At 38.5% G+C, this 15,245-nt stretch overlaps 1 protein-coding gene across 17 annotated transcripts in view, besides 1 other annotated feature; it reads left to right on the forward strand.

Moving 5' to 3' along the window:
• RAB3IP (RAB3A interacting protein) overlaps positions 1-15,245 on the forward strand; it is an 84,963-nt gene that overhangs the window by 35,460 nt on the left and 34,258 nt on the right. For 12 of the 17 annotated variants that reach the window (XR_007063038.1, XR_007063039.1, NR_103519.2 and 9 more), the window contains exon 4: positions 11,019-11,114. Coding sequence is in view for 11 of the 17 variants with exons in the window: in XM_047428268.1 (XP_047284224.1) it covers positions 11,019-11,114 (96 nt within the window). In the remaining 6 variants the exon portion in view is untranslated. The other 5 variants (XM_017018775.2, NM_001024647.3, NM_001278402.1 and 2 more) reach the window with 5 other exon arrangements.
• Positions 8,596-8,765: an enhancer, noted in NCBI's record as "experimental_30842 CRE fragment used in MPRA reporter constructs". NCBI's record gives its function as "activates a minimal promoter by MPRAs in K562 erythroleukemia cells, with activity observed for both the introgressed and non-introgressed 12:70176162 variant alleles {active_cell/tissue: K562}" and the evidence as "EXISTENCE:reporter gene assay evidence [ECO:0000049][PMID:34662402]".

A 15,245-nucleotide genomic window follows, 5' to 3' on the forward strand; every position in this document is an offset into this window, starting at 1 on the left:
GTTTCCAATTTCATCCATGTCCCTACAAAGGATATGAACTCATCATATTTTATGGCTGCATAGTATTCCATGGTGTATATGTGCCACATTTTCTTAATCCAGTCTATCATTGTTGGACATTTGGGTTGGTTCCAAGTCTTTGCTATTGTGAATAGTGCCGCAATAAACATACGTGTGCATGTGTCTTTATAGCAGCATGATTTATACTCATTTGGGTATATACCCAGTAATGGGATGGCTGGGTCAAATGGTATTTCTAGTTCTAGATCCCTGAGGAATCGCCACACTGACTTCCACAATGGTTGAACTAGTTTACAGTCCCACCAACAGTGTAAAAGTGTTCCTATTTCTCCGCATCCTCTCCAGCACCTGTTGTTTCCTGACTTTTTAATGATTGCCATTCTAACTGGTGTGAGATGATATCTCATAGTGGTTTTGATTTGCATTTCTCTGATGGCCAGTGATGATGAGCATTTCTTCATGTGTTTTTTGGCTGCATAAATGTCTTCTTTTGAGAAGTGTCTGTTCATGTCCTTTGCCCACTTTTTGATGGGGTTGTTTGTTTTTTTCTTGTAAATTTGTTTGAGTTCATTGTAGATTCTGGATATTAGCCCTTTGTCAGATGAGTAGGTTGCGAAAATTTTCTCCCATGTTGTAGGTTGCCTGTTCACTCTGATGGTAGTTTCTTTTGCTGTGCAGAAGCTCTTTAGTTTAATTAGATCCCATTTGTCAATTTTGTCTTTTGTTGCCATTGCTTTTGGTGTTTTGGACATGAAGTCCTTGCCCACGCCTATGTCCTGAATGGTAATGCCTAGGTTTTCTTCTAGGGTTTTTATGGTTTTAGGTTTAACGTTTAAATCTTTAATCCATCTTGAATTGATTTTTGTATAAGGTGTAAGGAAGGGATCCAGTTTCAGCTTTCTACATATGGCTAGCCAGTTTTCCCAGCACCATTTATTAAATAGGGAATCCTTTCCCCATTGCTTGTTTTTCTCAGGTTTGTCAAAGATCAGATAGTTGTAGATATGTGGCATTATTTCTGAGGGCTCTGTTCTGTTCCATTGATCTATATCTCTGTTTTGGTACCAGTACCATGCTGTTTTGGTTACTGTAGCCTTGTAGTATAGTTTGAAGTCAGGTAGTGTGATGCCTCCAGCTTTGTTCTTTTGGCTTAGGATTGACTTGGCAATGCGGGCTCTTTTTTGGTTCCATATGAACTTTAAAGTAGTTTTTTCCAATTCTGTGAAGAAAGTCATTGGTAGCTTGATGGGGATGGCATTGAATCTGTAAATTACCTTGGGCAGTATGGCCATTTTCATGATATTGATTCTTCCTACCCATGAGATGGAATGTTCTTCCATTTGTTTGTGTTCTCTTTTATTTCCTTGAGCAGTGGTTTGTAGTTCTCCTTGAAGAGGTCCTTCACATCCCTTGTAAGTTGGATTCCTAGGTATTTTATTCTCTTTGAAGCAATTGTGAATGGGAGTTCACCCATGATTTGGCTCTCTGTTTGTCTGTTGTTGGTGTATAAGAATGCTTGTGATTTTTGTACATTGATTTTGTATCCTGAGACTTTGCTGAAGTTGCTTATCAGCTTAAGGAGATTTTGGGCTGAGACGATGGTGTTTTCTAGATAAACAATCATGTCATCTGCAAACAGGGACAATTTGACTTCCTCTTTTCCTAATTGAATACCCTTTATTTCCTTCTTCTGCCTGATTGCCCTGGCCAGAACTTCCAACACTATGTTGAATAGGAGCGGTGAGAGAGGGCATCCCTGTCTTGTGCCAGTTTTCAAAGGGAATGCTTCCAGTTTTTGCCCATTCAGTATGATATTGGCTGTGGGTTTGTCATAGATAGCTCTTATTATTTTGAAATACGTCCCATCAATACCTAATTTATTGAGAGTTTTTAGCATGAAGGGTTGTTGAATTTTGTCAAAGGCTTTTTCTGCATCTATTGAGATAATCATGTGGTTTTTGTCTTTGGCTCTGTTTATATGCTGGATTACATTTATTGATTTGCGTATATTGAACCAGCCTTGCATCCCAGGGATGAAGCCCACTTGATCATGGTGGATAAGCTTTTTGATGTGCTGCTGGATTCGGTTTGCCAGTATTTTATTGAGGATTTTTGCATCAATGTTCATCAAGGATATTGGTCTAAAATTCTCTTTTTTGATTGTGTCTCTGCCCGGCTTTGGTATCAGAATGATGGTGGCCTCATAAAATGAGTTAGGGAGGATTCCCTCTTTTTCTATTGATTGGAATAGTTTCAGAAGGAATGGTACCAGTTCCTCCTTGTACCTCTGGTAGAATTCGGCTGTGAATCCATCTGGTCCTGGACTCTTTTTGGTTGGTAAACTATTGATTATTGCCACAATTTCAGAGCCTGTTATTGGTCTATTCAGAGATTCAACTTCTTCCTGGTTTAGTCTTGGGAGAGTGTATGTGTCGAGGAATGTATCCATTTCTTCTAGATTTTCTAGTTTATTTGCGTAGAGGTGTTTGTAGTATTCTCTGATGGTAGTTTGTATTTCTGTGGGATCGGTGGTGATATCCCCTTTATCATTTTTTATTGTGTCTATTTGATTCTTCTCTCTTTTTTTCTTTATTAGTCTTGCTAGCAGTCTATCAATTTTGTTGATCCTTTCAAAAAACCAGCTCCTGGATTCATTGATTTTTTGAAGGGTTTTTTGTGTCTCTATTTCCTTCAGTTCTGCTCTGATTTTAGTTATTTCTTGCCTTCTGCTAGCTTTTGAATGTGTTTGCTCTTGCTTTTCTAGTTCTTTTAATTGTGATGTTAGGGTGTCAATTTTGGATCTTTCCTGCTTTCTCTTGTGGGCATTCAGTGCTATAAATTTTCCTCTACACACTGCTTTGAATGCGTCCCAGAGATTCTGGTATGTTGTGTCTTTGTTCTCGTTGGTTTCAAAGAACATCTTTATTTCTGCCTTCATTTCGTTATGTACCCAGTAGTCATTCAGGAGCAGGTTGTTCAGTTTCCATGTAGTTGAGCGGCTTTGAGTGAGATTCTTAATCCTGAGTTCTAGTTTGATTGCACTGTGGTCTGAGAGATAGTTTGTTATAATTTCTGTTCTTTTACATTTGCTGAGGAGAGCTTTACTTCCAACTATGTGGTCAATTTTGGAATAGGTGTGGTGTGGTGCTGAAAAAAATGTATATTCTGTTGATTTGGGGTGGAGAGTTCTGTAGATGTCTATTAGGTCTGCTTGGTGCAGAGCTGAGTTCAATTCCTGGGTATCCTTGTTGACTTTCTGTCTCGTTGATCTGTCTAATGTTGACAGTGGGGTGTTAAAGTCTCCCATTATTAATGTGTGGGAGTCTAAGTCTCTTTGTAGGTCACTGAGGACTTGCTTTATGAATCTGGGTGCTCCTGTATTGGGTGCATAAATATTTAGGATAGTTAGCTCCTCTTGTTGAATTGATCCCTTTACCATTATGTAATGGCCTTCTTTGTCTCTTTTGATCTTTGTTGGTTTAAAGTCTGTTTTATCAGAGACTAGGATTGCAACCCCTGCCTTTTTTTGTTTTCCATTGGCTTGGTAGATCTTCCTCCATCCTTTTATTTTGAGCCTATGTGTGTCTCTGCACGTGAGATGGGTTTCCTGAATACAGCACACTGATGGGTCTTGACTCTTTATCCAACTTGCCAGTCTGTGTCTTTTAATTGCAGAATTTAGTCCATTTATATTTAAAGTTAATATTGTTATGTGTGAATTTGATCCTGTCATTATGATGTTAGCTGGTGATTTTGCTCATTAGTTGATGCAGTTTCTTCCTAGTCTCGATGGTCTTTACATTTTGGCATGATTTTGCAGCGGCTGGTACCGGTTGTTCCTTTCCATGTTTAGCGCTTCCTTCAGGAGCTCTTTTAGGGCAGGCCTGGTGGTGACAAAATCTCTCAGCATTTGCTTGTCTATAAAGTATTTTATTTCTCCTTCACTTATGAAGCTTAGTTTGGCTGGATATGAAATTCTGGGTTGAAAATTCTTTTCTTTAAGAATGTTGAATATTGGCCCCCACTCTCTTCTGGCTTGTAGGGTTTCTGCCGAGAGATCCGCTGTTAGTCTGATGGGCTTTCCTTTGAGGGTAACCCGACCTTTCTCTCTGGCTGCCCTTAACATTTTTTCCTTCATTTCAACTTTGGTGAATCTGACAATTATGTGTCTTGGAGTTGCTCTTCTCGAGGAGTATCTTTGTGGCGTTCTCTGTATTTCCTGAATCTGAACGTTGGCCTGCCTTGCTAGATTGGGGAAGTTCTCCTGGATAATATCCTGCAGAGTGTTTTCCAACTTGGTTCCATTCTCCACATCACTTTCAGGTACACCAATCAGACGTAGATTTGGTCTTTTCACATAGTCCCATATTTCTTGGAGGCTTTGCTCATTTCTTTTTATTCTTTTTTCTCTAAACTTCCCTTCTCCCTTCATTTCATTCATTTCATCTTCCATTGCTGATACCCTTTCTTCCAGTTGATCGCATCGGCTCCTGAGGCTTCTGCATTCTTCACGTAGTTCTCGAGCCTTGGTTTTCAGCTCCATCAGCTCCTTTAAGCACTTCTCTGTATTGGTTATTCTAGTTATACATTCTTCTAAATTTTTTTCAAAGTTTTCAACTTCTTTGCCTTTGGTTTGAATGTCCTCCCGTAGCTCAGAGTAATTTGATCGTCTGAAGCCTTCTTCTCTCAGCTCGTCAAAATCATTCTCCATCCAGCTTTGTTCTGTTGCTGGTGAGGAACTGCGTTCCTTTGGAGGAGGAGAGGCGCTCTGATTTTTAGAGTTTCCAGTTTTTCTGTACTGTTTTTTCCCCATCTTTGTGGTTTTATCTACTTTTGGTCTTTGATGATGGTGATGTACAGATGGGTTTTCGGTGTAGATGTCCTTTCTGTTTGTTAGTTTTCCTTCTAACAGACAGGACCCTCAGCTGCAGGTCTGTTGGAATACCCTGCCGTGTGAGGTGTCAGTGTGCCCCTGCTGGGGGGTGCCTCCCAGTTAGGCTGCTCGGGGGTCAGGGGTCAGGGACCCACTTGAGGAGGCAGTCTGCCCGTTCTCAGATCTCCAGCTGCGTGCTGGGAGAACCACTGCTCTCTTCAAAGCTGTCAGACAGGGACACTTAAGTCTGCAGAGGTTACTGCTGTCTTTTTGTTTGTCTGTGCCCTGCCCCCAGAGGTGGAGCCTACAGAGGCAGGCAGGCCTCCTTGAGCTGTGGTGGGCTCCACCCAGTTCGAGCTTCCCGGCTGCTTTGTTTACCTAAGCAAGCCTGGGCAATGGCGGGCGTCCCTCCCCCAGCCTCGTTGCCGCCTTGCAGTTTGATCTCAGACTGCTGTGCTAGCAATCAGCGAGATTCCGTGGGCGTAGGACCCTCTGAGCCAGGTGTGGGATATAGTCTCGTGGTGCGCCGTTTCTTAAGCCGGTCTGAAAAGCGCAATATTCGGATGGGAGTGACCCGATTTTCCAGGTGCGTCCGTCACCCCTTTCTTTGACTCGGAAAGGGAACTCCCTGACCCCTTGCGCTTCCCAGGTGAGGCAATGCCTCGCCCTGCTTCGGCTCGCGCACGGTGCGCACACACACTGGCCTGCGCCCACTGTCTGGCACTCCCTAGTGAGATGAACCCGGTACCTCAGATGGAAATGCAGAAATCACCCGTCTTCTGCGTCGCTCACGCTGGTAGCTGTAGACCGGAGCTGTTCCTATTCGGCCATCTTGGCTCCTCCTCCCATTTGTCTTTCTTTATTCCCTCTTGAACTCCAATTACTCGAACATTTTCTCTTTTGATGCTATCCCATAGATCTTGTAAGCTTTCTTCATTCCTCTTTAGTCTTTTTTTTTTTCTTCTCTACCTGTATATTTTTCACTTATCCTGCCTTTGAGCTCACTCATCGTTTCTTCGCTTGGTTAATTCTGTTGTTGAAGCTCTATTGCATTTTTCACTGCTTTCACTGCACATTCTAGCTAGGGAATTTTTTTTTTTTTTTCCAGCGTCTCTCTTAAATTTTTCTGATAAATTTCTGAATTGTTTATCTGTATTTTCTTGAAGTTCACTGATGATCCTTAACACAGCTAGTTTGATTTTTATTCTGACAGATCACACATCTCCATCTTTTTAGGGTCTGTTATTGGTACCTTATTTTGTCTCTTTGGTGAGGTCATAGTTCCCTGATTGTTCTGAATGCTTGTGGATGTACACTGATGTCTGCTTATTAACGAATTAGTTATTTATTCAAGTCTTTGCAGTGTGACTTTGTGCCCATCCTTCAGTGGGCCTATCTAGAGATCTAAGACTGGCTGTTGTCAAGCCTGTGACTGCTGCAGCCATTTCAGCGGTAGAGGGCGCCTTAAGCCCATTTTTACCACGAAGATGACATGGTGCTCCAGCCAGGATATACCTAATGATGACTCAAGGTAGGGGTACCCTGACTGTGAGGAAGTTGGCCAACGACCCGAACCTGGAAGCCTGTCCCATTTGCTTAGACAGATGCATGTTTCCCCGCAATTCCCTGCACAGATGGGATAGTTCCCCAACTGTAGCAAAAGGAACTGGAGCTGAGACTGGGACCCCTTACACTCTGCTGTAGGATGGAGGCTGGTGAGCTTGCACCAGTGGCCTACATCCATGCTTCCCAGTAATTTCCTGCATGGATGGGACAGTTTACCAACTGCAGGGAGAGGGGCTGGAGCCGAGTCTGGGCCCCTTCACTGCTGTGGGACAGAGGCTGGCAAACCCACCAGGGTAGCCCAGGCAGGCAAGCTTCCCCTAGAAGCTCCCTGCACAGGTGGGGCATTTCCCTGACTGTAGTGAGAGAGGCTAGAGTAGAGAGTGGGATCCTTTAGGACCTGCTTTGGGACAAAGGCTGACAGGTCCTTCAAGGAGGCTCAGACAGACAAATCATTCCTGGGTTGTGGGATATGGGTAAATCTTCTTCTGGGTCCTTGTGCAAGCAGTAATAAACTGGGCCCATGGCTGGGTAGCAGAAGGGTTGGAGCCAATTTACAGGGTAACTTTCAGGTCTGCTGCCAAGACCAATGTCAGTGGGCAGATGAAGCTTGCTGCCTAGGCACTAGTGTGCTTGATTCCTCCTAAATCTTTTTTTTTTTTAATTAGTATTTTGGAAGGTTTGATTTTTGTTTTGTTATTTTTAATCAAATGCATTTATATATCTTAAAAGTTCTTTATATACTACCTTTGTTTCCTGCCATAAACAATACTAAACTGTCTCTTCCCTTTTCCTGTATCATTTGATTTTAGTTACAAGTATTATCTTAATGCCAATCACTGTGTTCATAAATGTACTTGGGTTTATCCCAGTTGATTTGAGAGCTTCAAGTTGTAACTCTTTTTCCAAGTAATACTTAAGAAGTTAGTACACTTAGTTTCACCTTTCTTATAATTTTTTTGGTTTTTAAAAATAATATGTGTTATTTTACATCCCTTGAGCTTATATCATTTTTATACCATTTTGTCAGTTTTATCTCCATTTTTAAAAAATTGACACTTTTAGAGCAGTTTTTAGAGCAGTTTTAGGTTCACAGCAAAATTGAAAGTACAGAGTCCCCATGTACTTGCTGTCTCCACACACGCACAGCATCCCCCCCGTTAGCATTCCCTACCAGAGTGGTACATTTCTTAAAATTAATACACCTCCATTGACACATTGTCTCCCAAAGTTCATAGTTTACATTAGGGTTTACTCTTGGTGTTGTACATGCTGTGGATTTTGATGAAGGTATAATGGCATGTGTCTACCATGATAGTATCTTACAGAATAGTTTCACTGACCTAAAAATCCTCTTTACTCTGCCTGCTCATCCCTTCCTCCCTAAAAACCCTGGCAACCACTGATCTTTTTAACATCTCTGTAGTCTTACCTTTTCCAGATTGTCATAGAGTTGGAATCATATAGTGTGTAGCCTTTTCAGATTGGCTTCTTTCACTTAGTAATGTGCATTTAATCTTCTTTTATGTCTTTTCATGGCTTGTTAGTTCATTTTCTTTTAGCACAAAATGATATTTCACTGTCTGGATGTACCACAGTGTATTCATTCACCTAGTAAAGGCCATCTGCTGCTTCTAAGTTTGGGCAGTTATGAGTGAATAAAGCTGCTGTAAATATGTGTTTGCAGGTTTTTGTGTGGACATGTGTTTGACTAATTTAGGCAAATACCAACAAGTGTGATCGCTGGATCCCATGATAAGAGTATGGTTAGCTTTGTAAGAAATTGCCAAACTATCTTCCAAAGTAGCTTTCCCATTTTGCATTGTCACTAGCAATAAATTAGAGTTCCTATTTGTTCACATTCTCTTTAGCATTTGATATTACCAGTTTTAATCCCCCTTTGGGGGATTAAAAAACTATATTACCACCACAGTTACAACACCACTAACTCGTGTTCTGAGTTTTGGCCATTCTAGTAGGTATGCAGGGTATCTCATTGTTTTTTTGTTCTGTTTTTTCTTTTTGAGATCGAGTCTCGCTCTATCGCCCAGGCTGGAGTGCAGTGGCGCGATCTCGGCTCACTGCAATCTCCACCTCCCGGGTTCAAGTGATTCTCCTGCCTCAGGCTTCTGAGTAGGTGGGATTACAGGCACGCGCCACCATGCGTGGCTAATTTTTGTATTTTTAGTAGAGACGGGGTTTCACCATGTTGATCAAGCTGGTCTCGAACTCCTGACCTCGTGATCCGCCCACCTCAGCCTCCCAAAGTGCTGAGATTACAGGCATGAGCCACTGCACCCAGCCATCTCATTGTTTTAATTAGTGGTTCCTTAATAAGATATGATGTTGATCATCATTTCACATGCTTGTTTGTCATCTGTGTATCTGCCTTCTCTGGTGAAGTGTCTGTTTTGGTCATTTGCCCAGTTTTTAATTGGGTCGTTCTTTTCTCACTGTTGGATTTTAAATGTTCTTTGTATATTTTGGATAACAGTAGTTTATCACATAGGTCATTTGCAAATATTTTTTTCCCAATTTGTGTCTTGTCTTCTCATTCTCTTGATATTCCCATCTTTTAGTTTTAGTTCTAAAGTTAGATGTATTTTCTTCTTACCCCAGTCCATCATGTTACAGCTTATCCAGTTTTTTTGTTTTGTTTTTTTTTGTTTTTTTAATCTGAAACATTCTCTGGTCCACTCAGGCAAGCTCATAGGAGAGAGATTTTCTAAGGTCTTACAGGTTTATGACTTTGTGGTCGTACACTTGAAGGACACTTTGGCTGGCTATAAAATACTCAGCTCACATTTTTTTCTTTGAGTAACTTAAAAATGTTACTTCATTGTTTTCTAACATAAATGTTGCTGTTGAAATTCGGTACCAGTCTGATTTTCTTTCCCTTGTAGGTGACTTGGCTTTGTATTTAACTTTATTATTGTGATAACTTTACATATTTTTGTTTCCCATGTTTAAATGATCTGGATTTCCCTGGACTATTAGGAAGAGATTCCTATGAAAGAATAAATCAGGATAGCTTTATCAGTTTACATTTGAAGGTCTTTCTCCTCTGTTGTTTTTGGAGTGTGTGTGTAGCTCCTTTGTCTCGTAGGTAATCCTTGGTCAAAAAGGTTTTTCTTTTCCAGCGCACTGTTTCTGAGAGCTTTACATGCTTAGCATCCCATCATAGGATACTTATTTTCTCTCTCTAGTATTTTCTGTCAACTGTTTCCTTTGGAACTTTGCCACTCCCTTCCCTCTTTATATCTTATCCTTCCTTCTCCCTGTCTTCATTGCCCTGCAGTTTTGTTTGAGACTTCCGAGTTTTTTTCCCCTTAGGGTGAGACTCCGTCCTTCTGGTGAGGGCTCTTTGTTACGTACTCCTCTAAGATGTTTGAGGGTTTAGAGCTTCGTAGCACTCTTTGCTGCCTATAGGACTGACTATACAGGTTTTTGCAGTCACCTGCAAGTTGGAGCCTGTGAAAACCTTTTGCTTTCTCTCCGTTTATTCTTAGATTTGCTCTCCGAGTTTTCTCCAAAGATAGAGTCCTGTGCTTGTGGAGTATTTCTTGGTGATTTTTGGGTTTTGTTGCTTTGTAGGGTACCTCTGTTGTAGCTTTAATTTCCTGCTGCTTTTGTACATCTGGTGATCATGCATTGTGAGCAGTTTATCCACATTCTCTTAGTATTCTGAGAATTATGGAGATTCTCTTTTACTTAGTTTCATTGAGATCTTCTCATATCCCTGTTGGTATATCTGGTTTTTAGGAGTTATCTTTGGGGGATTAAAAGACTATACTGCCACCACAATTATAACACCACTAACTCATTATTTTATTAGTTTAATTGTGACTAATATGTAAGGAGCTTAGATTCTCCCCCCCTATGTTTGAAAGATTAGTTTAGGGCTACTTAAGCATACAAAATTGCATATGCTTAATAGCTGAATAAAGGAATTTTAAAACATCTATATGTGAACTGGTGAGGAGTTGAATATAAATGTAGAATGTGATTTTTGGTAACGTTTTTCTTGATTTTAAATGCAAATATGCATCATTTATATCTGGTTACATTGTTTAATGGATATAGTCTCCTAATAGATATTTTAGGTTAGTTGCAGTATGGTACATGAAGTTACCTATAAGTAAATAGCTTTTAAAGTAAACATAAAAAAAGTGTATTTTTATTGAAATATGCATAATTAAATTCCTTACTTGATGGAAATAAATATGTATAGCAAAAAGTTAAAGGAAAAAAAGAAGTCATTTTGTTTATTTTCACCTGTAATATATATTATATATAGTTTATATATATAATGTATATTTTTAATTTTTGGATATTTTATGAAAGAAATGTGAAAATTTAATTTGTTAGTTGGGATTTTCTGTAATTTTGGACTTGCCTGATTGTCTTCCACATAGCAGGTGCTAGATAAATACTTTCAATGTGAACATTGTCAGAAGTGACAGTATTCATATTTTATAATTTTATTAGTAAAGATTATATAGTCTGCTGAATCTAACTTCAAACTATGGAGATCCAAAATAAAATTATCAATTTCTCTTAGGAACTGAAGTTAAAAGATGAAGAATGTGAGAGGCTTTCAAAAGTGCGAGATCAACTTGGACAGGAATTGGAAGAACTCACAGCTAGTCTATTTGAGGTTGGTCTATTTACATCTTGGCCAACAGCAACATCTTGACTTTTATATATTGACAAAATTGTATTTTGAGGGAATCTTGAAAAATATTTGCTTAGCTTCATGTATATTTATAAGTCCTCTAAGCAAAAGAGAAATCTTTAAGCAATGTAGAGTTTACAACTTAAGATGATGTGAAAAGAAATAAAAAACATCTATGGGCCACCAGTATCAGATTATTTAAAAATGTATGTGTGCAAAGAAAGGAGGCAAATTTTAGTATTGATTTTTATTTTACCAAGTATTTACGGGCTACTTTAGATTAACTACATATGACTGTACAACTAAGAGGGCAAACTCTTTGAGATAGTCATCTTACATGGGATGATTTGAGAAATGTTAGAAGGCACATCTACTTGTAAGAAGGCATACTTTTTATATCCAGCCCGCCACCAGGAAAAATTTCTACCTAACTGGAGCAGTGTTTCTCCATAGGGGTGCCACTAACACTGTAGGACGTTTAGTGTCCTTGGTGTTTTAGTCAGGGTTCTCCAGAAAAACAGAGCCTATATACATATACATGTATAGAGAGATACAGAGAGGGAGAGAGAGGGACAGAGGCACTCATTATTATAGGGAGTTGGCTCTTGCTGTTATGGAGGCTGGCAAGTCCCAGGGAGCTGCAGTGGGAGTCAGCAAACTGGAGGCCCAGGAGGGCTGATGGTGCACTTCCAGTCCAACTTTGAAGGTCTGAGAACTGGGAAGAGCAAATGTTTCAGTTTGAGTCTGAAGGCAGAAAAAAAATCTCTTCCTTGAGGGAGCGGCACCCTTTTTTGTTCTATTCAGGCCATCAACTGATTGGATGAGGGTCACCCACATTCTAGAGGGCAGTCTACTTTACTCAGTCTACCAATGTAAATGTTATTCTTATCCAGAAACATTCAGGATAATGTTTGACTACATATTCGAGCACCCTTTGATTCAGTCAAGTTGACGTACACAATAAACCATTATAATAGGCTTTGCTCAGAAAAGTGCTGGTAATACCCCCGGTCATTTTGACAGCATACAGATACCCCTGGGGGTGAGGTGAGGGTAGTACTTCCATGAGTAAGAACTGTTGCTGTAAAGTGTCTCCTTTGGGTTAAGACCTTGAGTCTTTAGAAGTTCCTTAACAAAAACATTGATGTGTTACTGGAATGGCTAATGCCATTATCATTTAACGATATATATATGTTTTTTTCCTAAAGATTTGTTCTTAAAACTTTTATTATAATAAACTTGGGGGGGTGGAAATTCCATCACCTTTTGTTATTATTTATTCATAATCTATTTCACAGTCTCAGGTATGTATGTATTCTTACTTAGTTGTAATTTAATATTTTGTGTTTTTCTAAATAACATTTTTAATGTTGCTGCACCATCACTAATTGTAACGATAGTCATAATCTACTAGGTGCCTGTTCCACAACTTTTATCATTACAAGTAACATTGCCCTGAATGTCTTTAGACATGTAGGGCTTTCCATGCCTTCTCTGCTCCATACCCCTTTGCCTTCTTTTCTGTCTTTTTGGGGTCATTTTCTTTCATGAACATTTTAAAATTAATCTGTTTATTTATTTAGCTAGCTAGTCATCAGAGATGAGAGGAGAATAAATTTAAGGATAGGAAGAGTGGAAAGTTAAAGAGCTAGAATAGAAGCTATGTGACTTGTTACATTTCTGAATAGAAGGTTATACAGAAGCATTAGATTTTTCTTCCAGTATTGTCTGACTGGAAGAAAATTTTGTAGTGATATGGATATTAGGTAAGAAAGCAAATATATTAAGCTATTTATGTTAATTTTGATTTCCTGACTACTTGCATTTAATTTAGCTAGCCCTGCTTAGTTTCACCCATCTGCACATGTATGTATGTTCTGTTACATGAAATAGAAGTAGAAAAAACAGAAAGAAACTTCTCCCTGTAAGTAGCAGGATGTGAAGGGCCAGAAATGCAGCTTAGGCAATAGGCAATAAGTGAAAAAGCATATCTAAAAAATATAGTTTGGAGTCTCTAACCTTTTCTAACCCAGTGGTGGCTGTTAGCATTGACACTGTGGCTACTTTCTGGAAAACAAAGTACATTGATTAAAGATGATTTTGGTAATGAAGAAAGTTGTATTCGAACCAATTATTTATGAATCGTGGAAAAAGCGCTCAAAGTTTTTATTTGGTCTTAATTGTGCCTTCATGATCTGTTTACCATTGTCTTATGAAAAGATTCTTTTTTTGCACTTTATATGTGTGTGTTTGCATATCTTTTTAGGAATTAAAGATTATTCTGAATAAACTCAATATGCACAGTTTTGGTAAGTCTGACATGTATAATAGGAGTCTATTATCCTAATCTTCAATATAATTATACTTTGTATGTAGCAAAGTTGAGTTTTAAAAGTATCAAATACTTAATAAACCTCAAAAGTTATGTTTTTCTTCTAACGCCTCCAATTTTGAGATAATATAAAATTAAGTCAGTTGAAAGAATACAAAGCAGTCTATATCTTACATGGAGAAAAAAAGATAGTAGTCTTAAGATGTTTATGTTTTATAAGCCAGTTTTAGTAAATGTTTATGATATGTCTAGTTTTCTCCCAACAATACTATGATGCATATAGGGCAGATTATTATCATTTTATCTGAGAAGAAAAGTGAGGCAGAGAGGCTAATGAGCAATGCAGGCACTCATATTCATGATCCTAACTCTTGCTTTATCTACTGTGAAAATCATAAATGGCATTTCTCTTTGTGTCAAACCATGGAAAAGAAGTCATCACCGGGGCCTCTTATTTCTTCATTCCACACTCAAGTGATCAGTTAAGTCTTTTGATGCTACCTCCAGGACATAGAGCACATTGCCTTCCAAGCCACCATCGTTTGTTAGCTAAATCAATAGATACCAAACTTTTTGATCCTGTACCTGATCAGTACGAGAAAAATTTGAGCATGTTACCTCCATTATGATGAAGATAACTAATATTTATTGAGAGTTCCCTATGTGCTAGGCACATATAGGTAGTGTTCTATATGAACATATATGTGTATTTATAAATTATACACACTTGCTAATGGACATACTAATGTGTTAACATACATTGTAAATACAAGTTTTAAAAGGTAAAACAATAAAAATGCTTTAACATTTTTATTATGGTACAAAAATATTCTCATTAAAACAGTTATACACACATGTTTTATATATACTTAGTGAGAGGAGTGTGATTGAATATGTTACTTTATTTTAGAAGATCTTGTTTTAACAGTTTATTATCCAGATGAAGGTCTGGTCTAAGTTCCATTTTCAAAAATAGATCTAATACTGCTGATAACTCACACATCTATTGGTCTAATATAAGATACATCTTTCCCTATTTTAAATCATTATTTTGTCATTATAGATTTCATCGTGCAGAAATCGGTAGAATATACTTACACAAACCAAGATGTGGTAAAACCTAGATGGTACAGCCTATTACACACCTTGGCTATATGATATTGCTTATTGCTCCTGGGCTACAAACCTGTACAACATGTTACTATACTGAATACTGTTGGCACTTGTGATACAATGGTAAATATTTACGTATCTAAACATAGAAAAAGTAAAGTAAAAATAAATATGGTATAATTTTATGGGACCACTGTCATATATGCAGTCCATTGTTCACTGAAATGTTATGTGGTGCATGACTGTATATATGCATCCAACATCAAAGCACCTAAATGTGTAAAACAAACTGACAGATCTGAAGGCTGATACAGTAATACATTAATAATAGGTGACTTCAATACCACAGTCTCTCTAATGAGTAGATTATTCAGACAGAAAATTAATAAGGAAACAGCAGAACTGCATAACGCTATAGACCAAATGGATCTAACAGATACGTATGGAACTTTTAACACAACAGCAAAAGAATATACATTCTTCTCAGGTGCACATGAAACATTCTCCAGTATAGTTCATGTTAGGTCACAAAACAAGTCTCAGATTTAAGAAGATCAAAATCATTCTAAGAATCTTTTCCACTCACAATGGAATTCAATTAGGAATCAATAATAGAAAACAGGAAAACTCAAATGTGTGGAAACTAAACAATGATATCCTTTTGAACA

This window comes from Homo sapiens, chromosome 12, assembly GCF_000001405.40.
Source record: "Homo sapiens chromosome 12, GRCh38.p14 Primary Assembly".
Taxonomy (NCBI): Eukaryota; Metazoa; Chordata; class Mammalia; order Primates; family Hominidae; genus Homo; species Homo sapiens.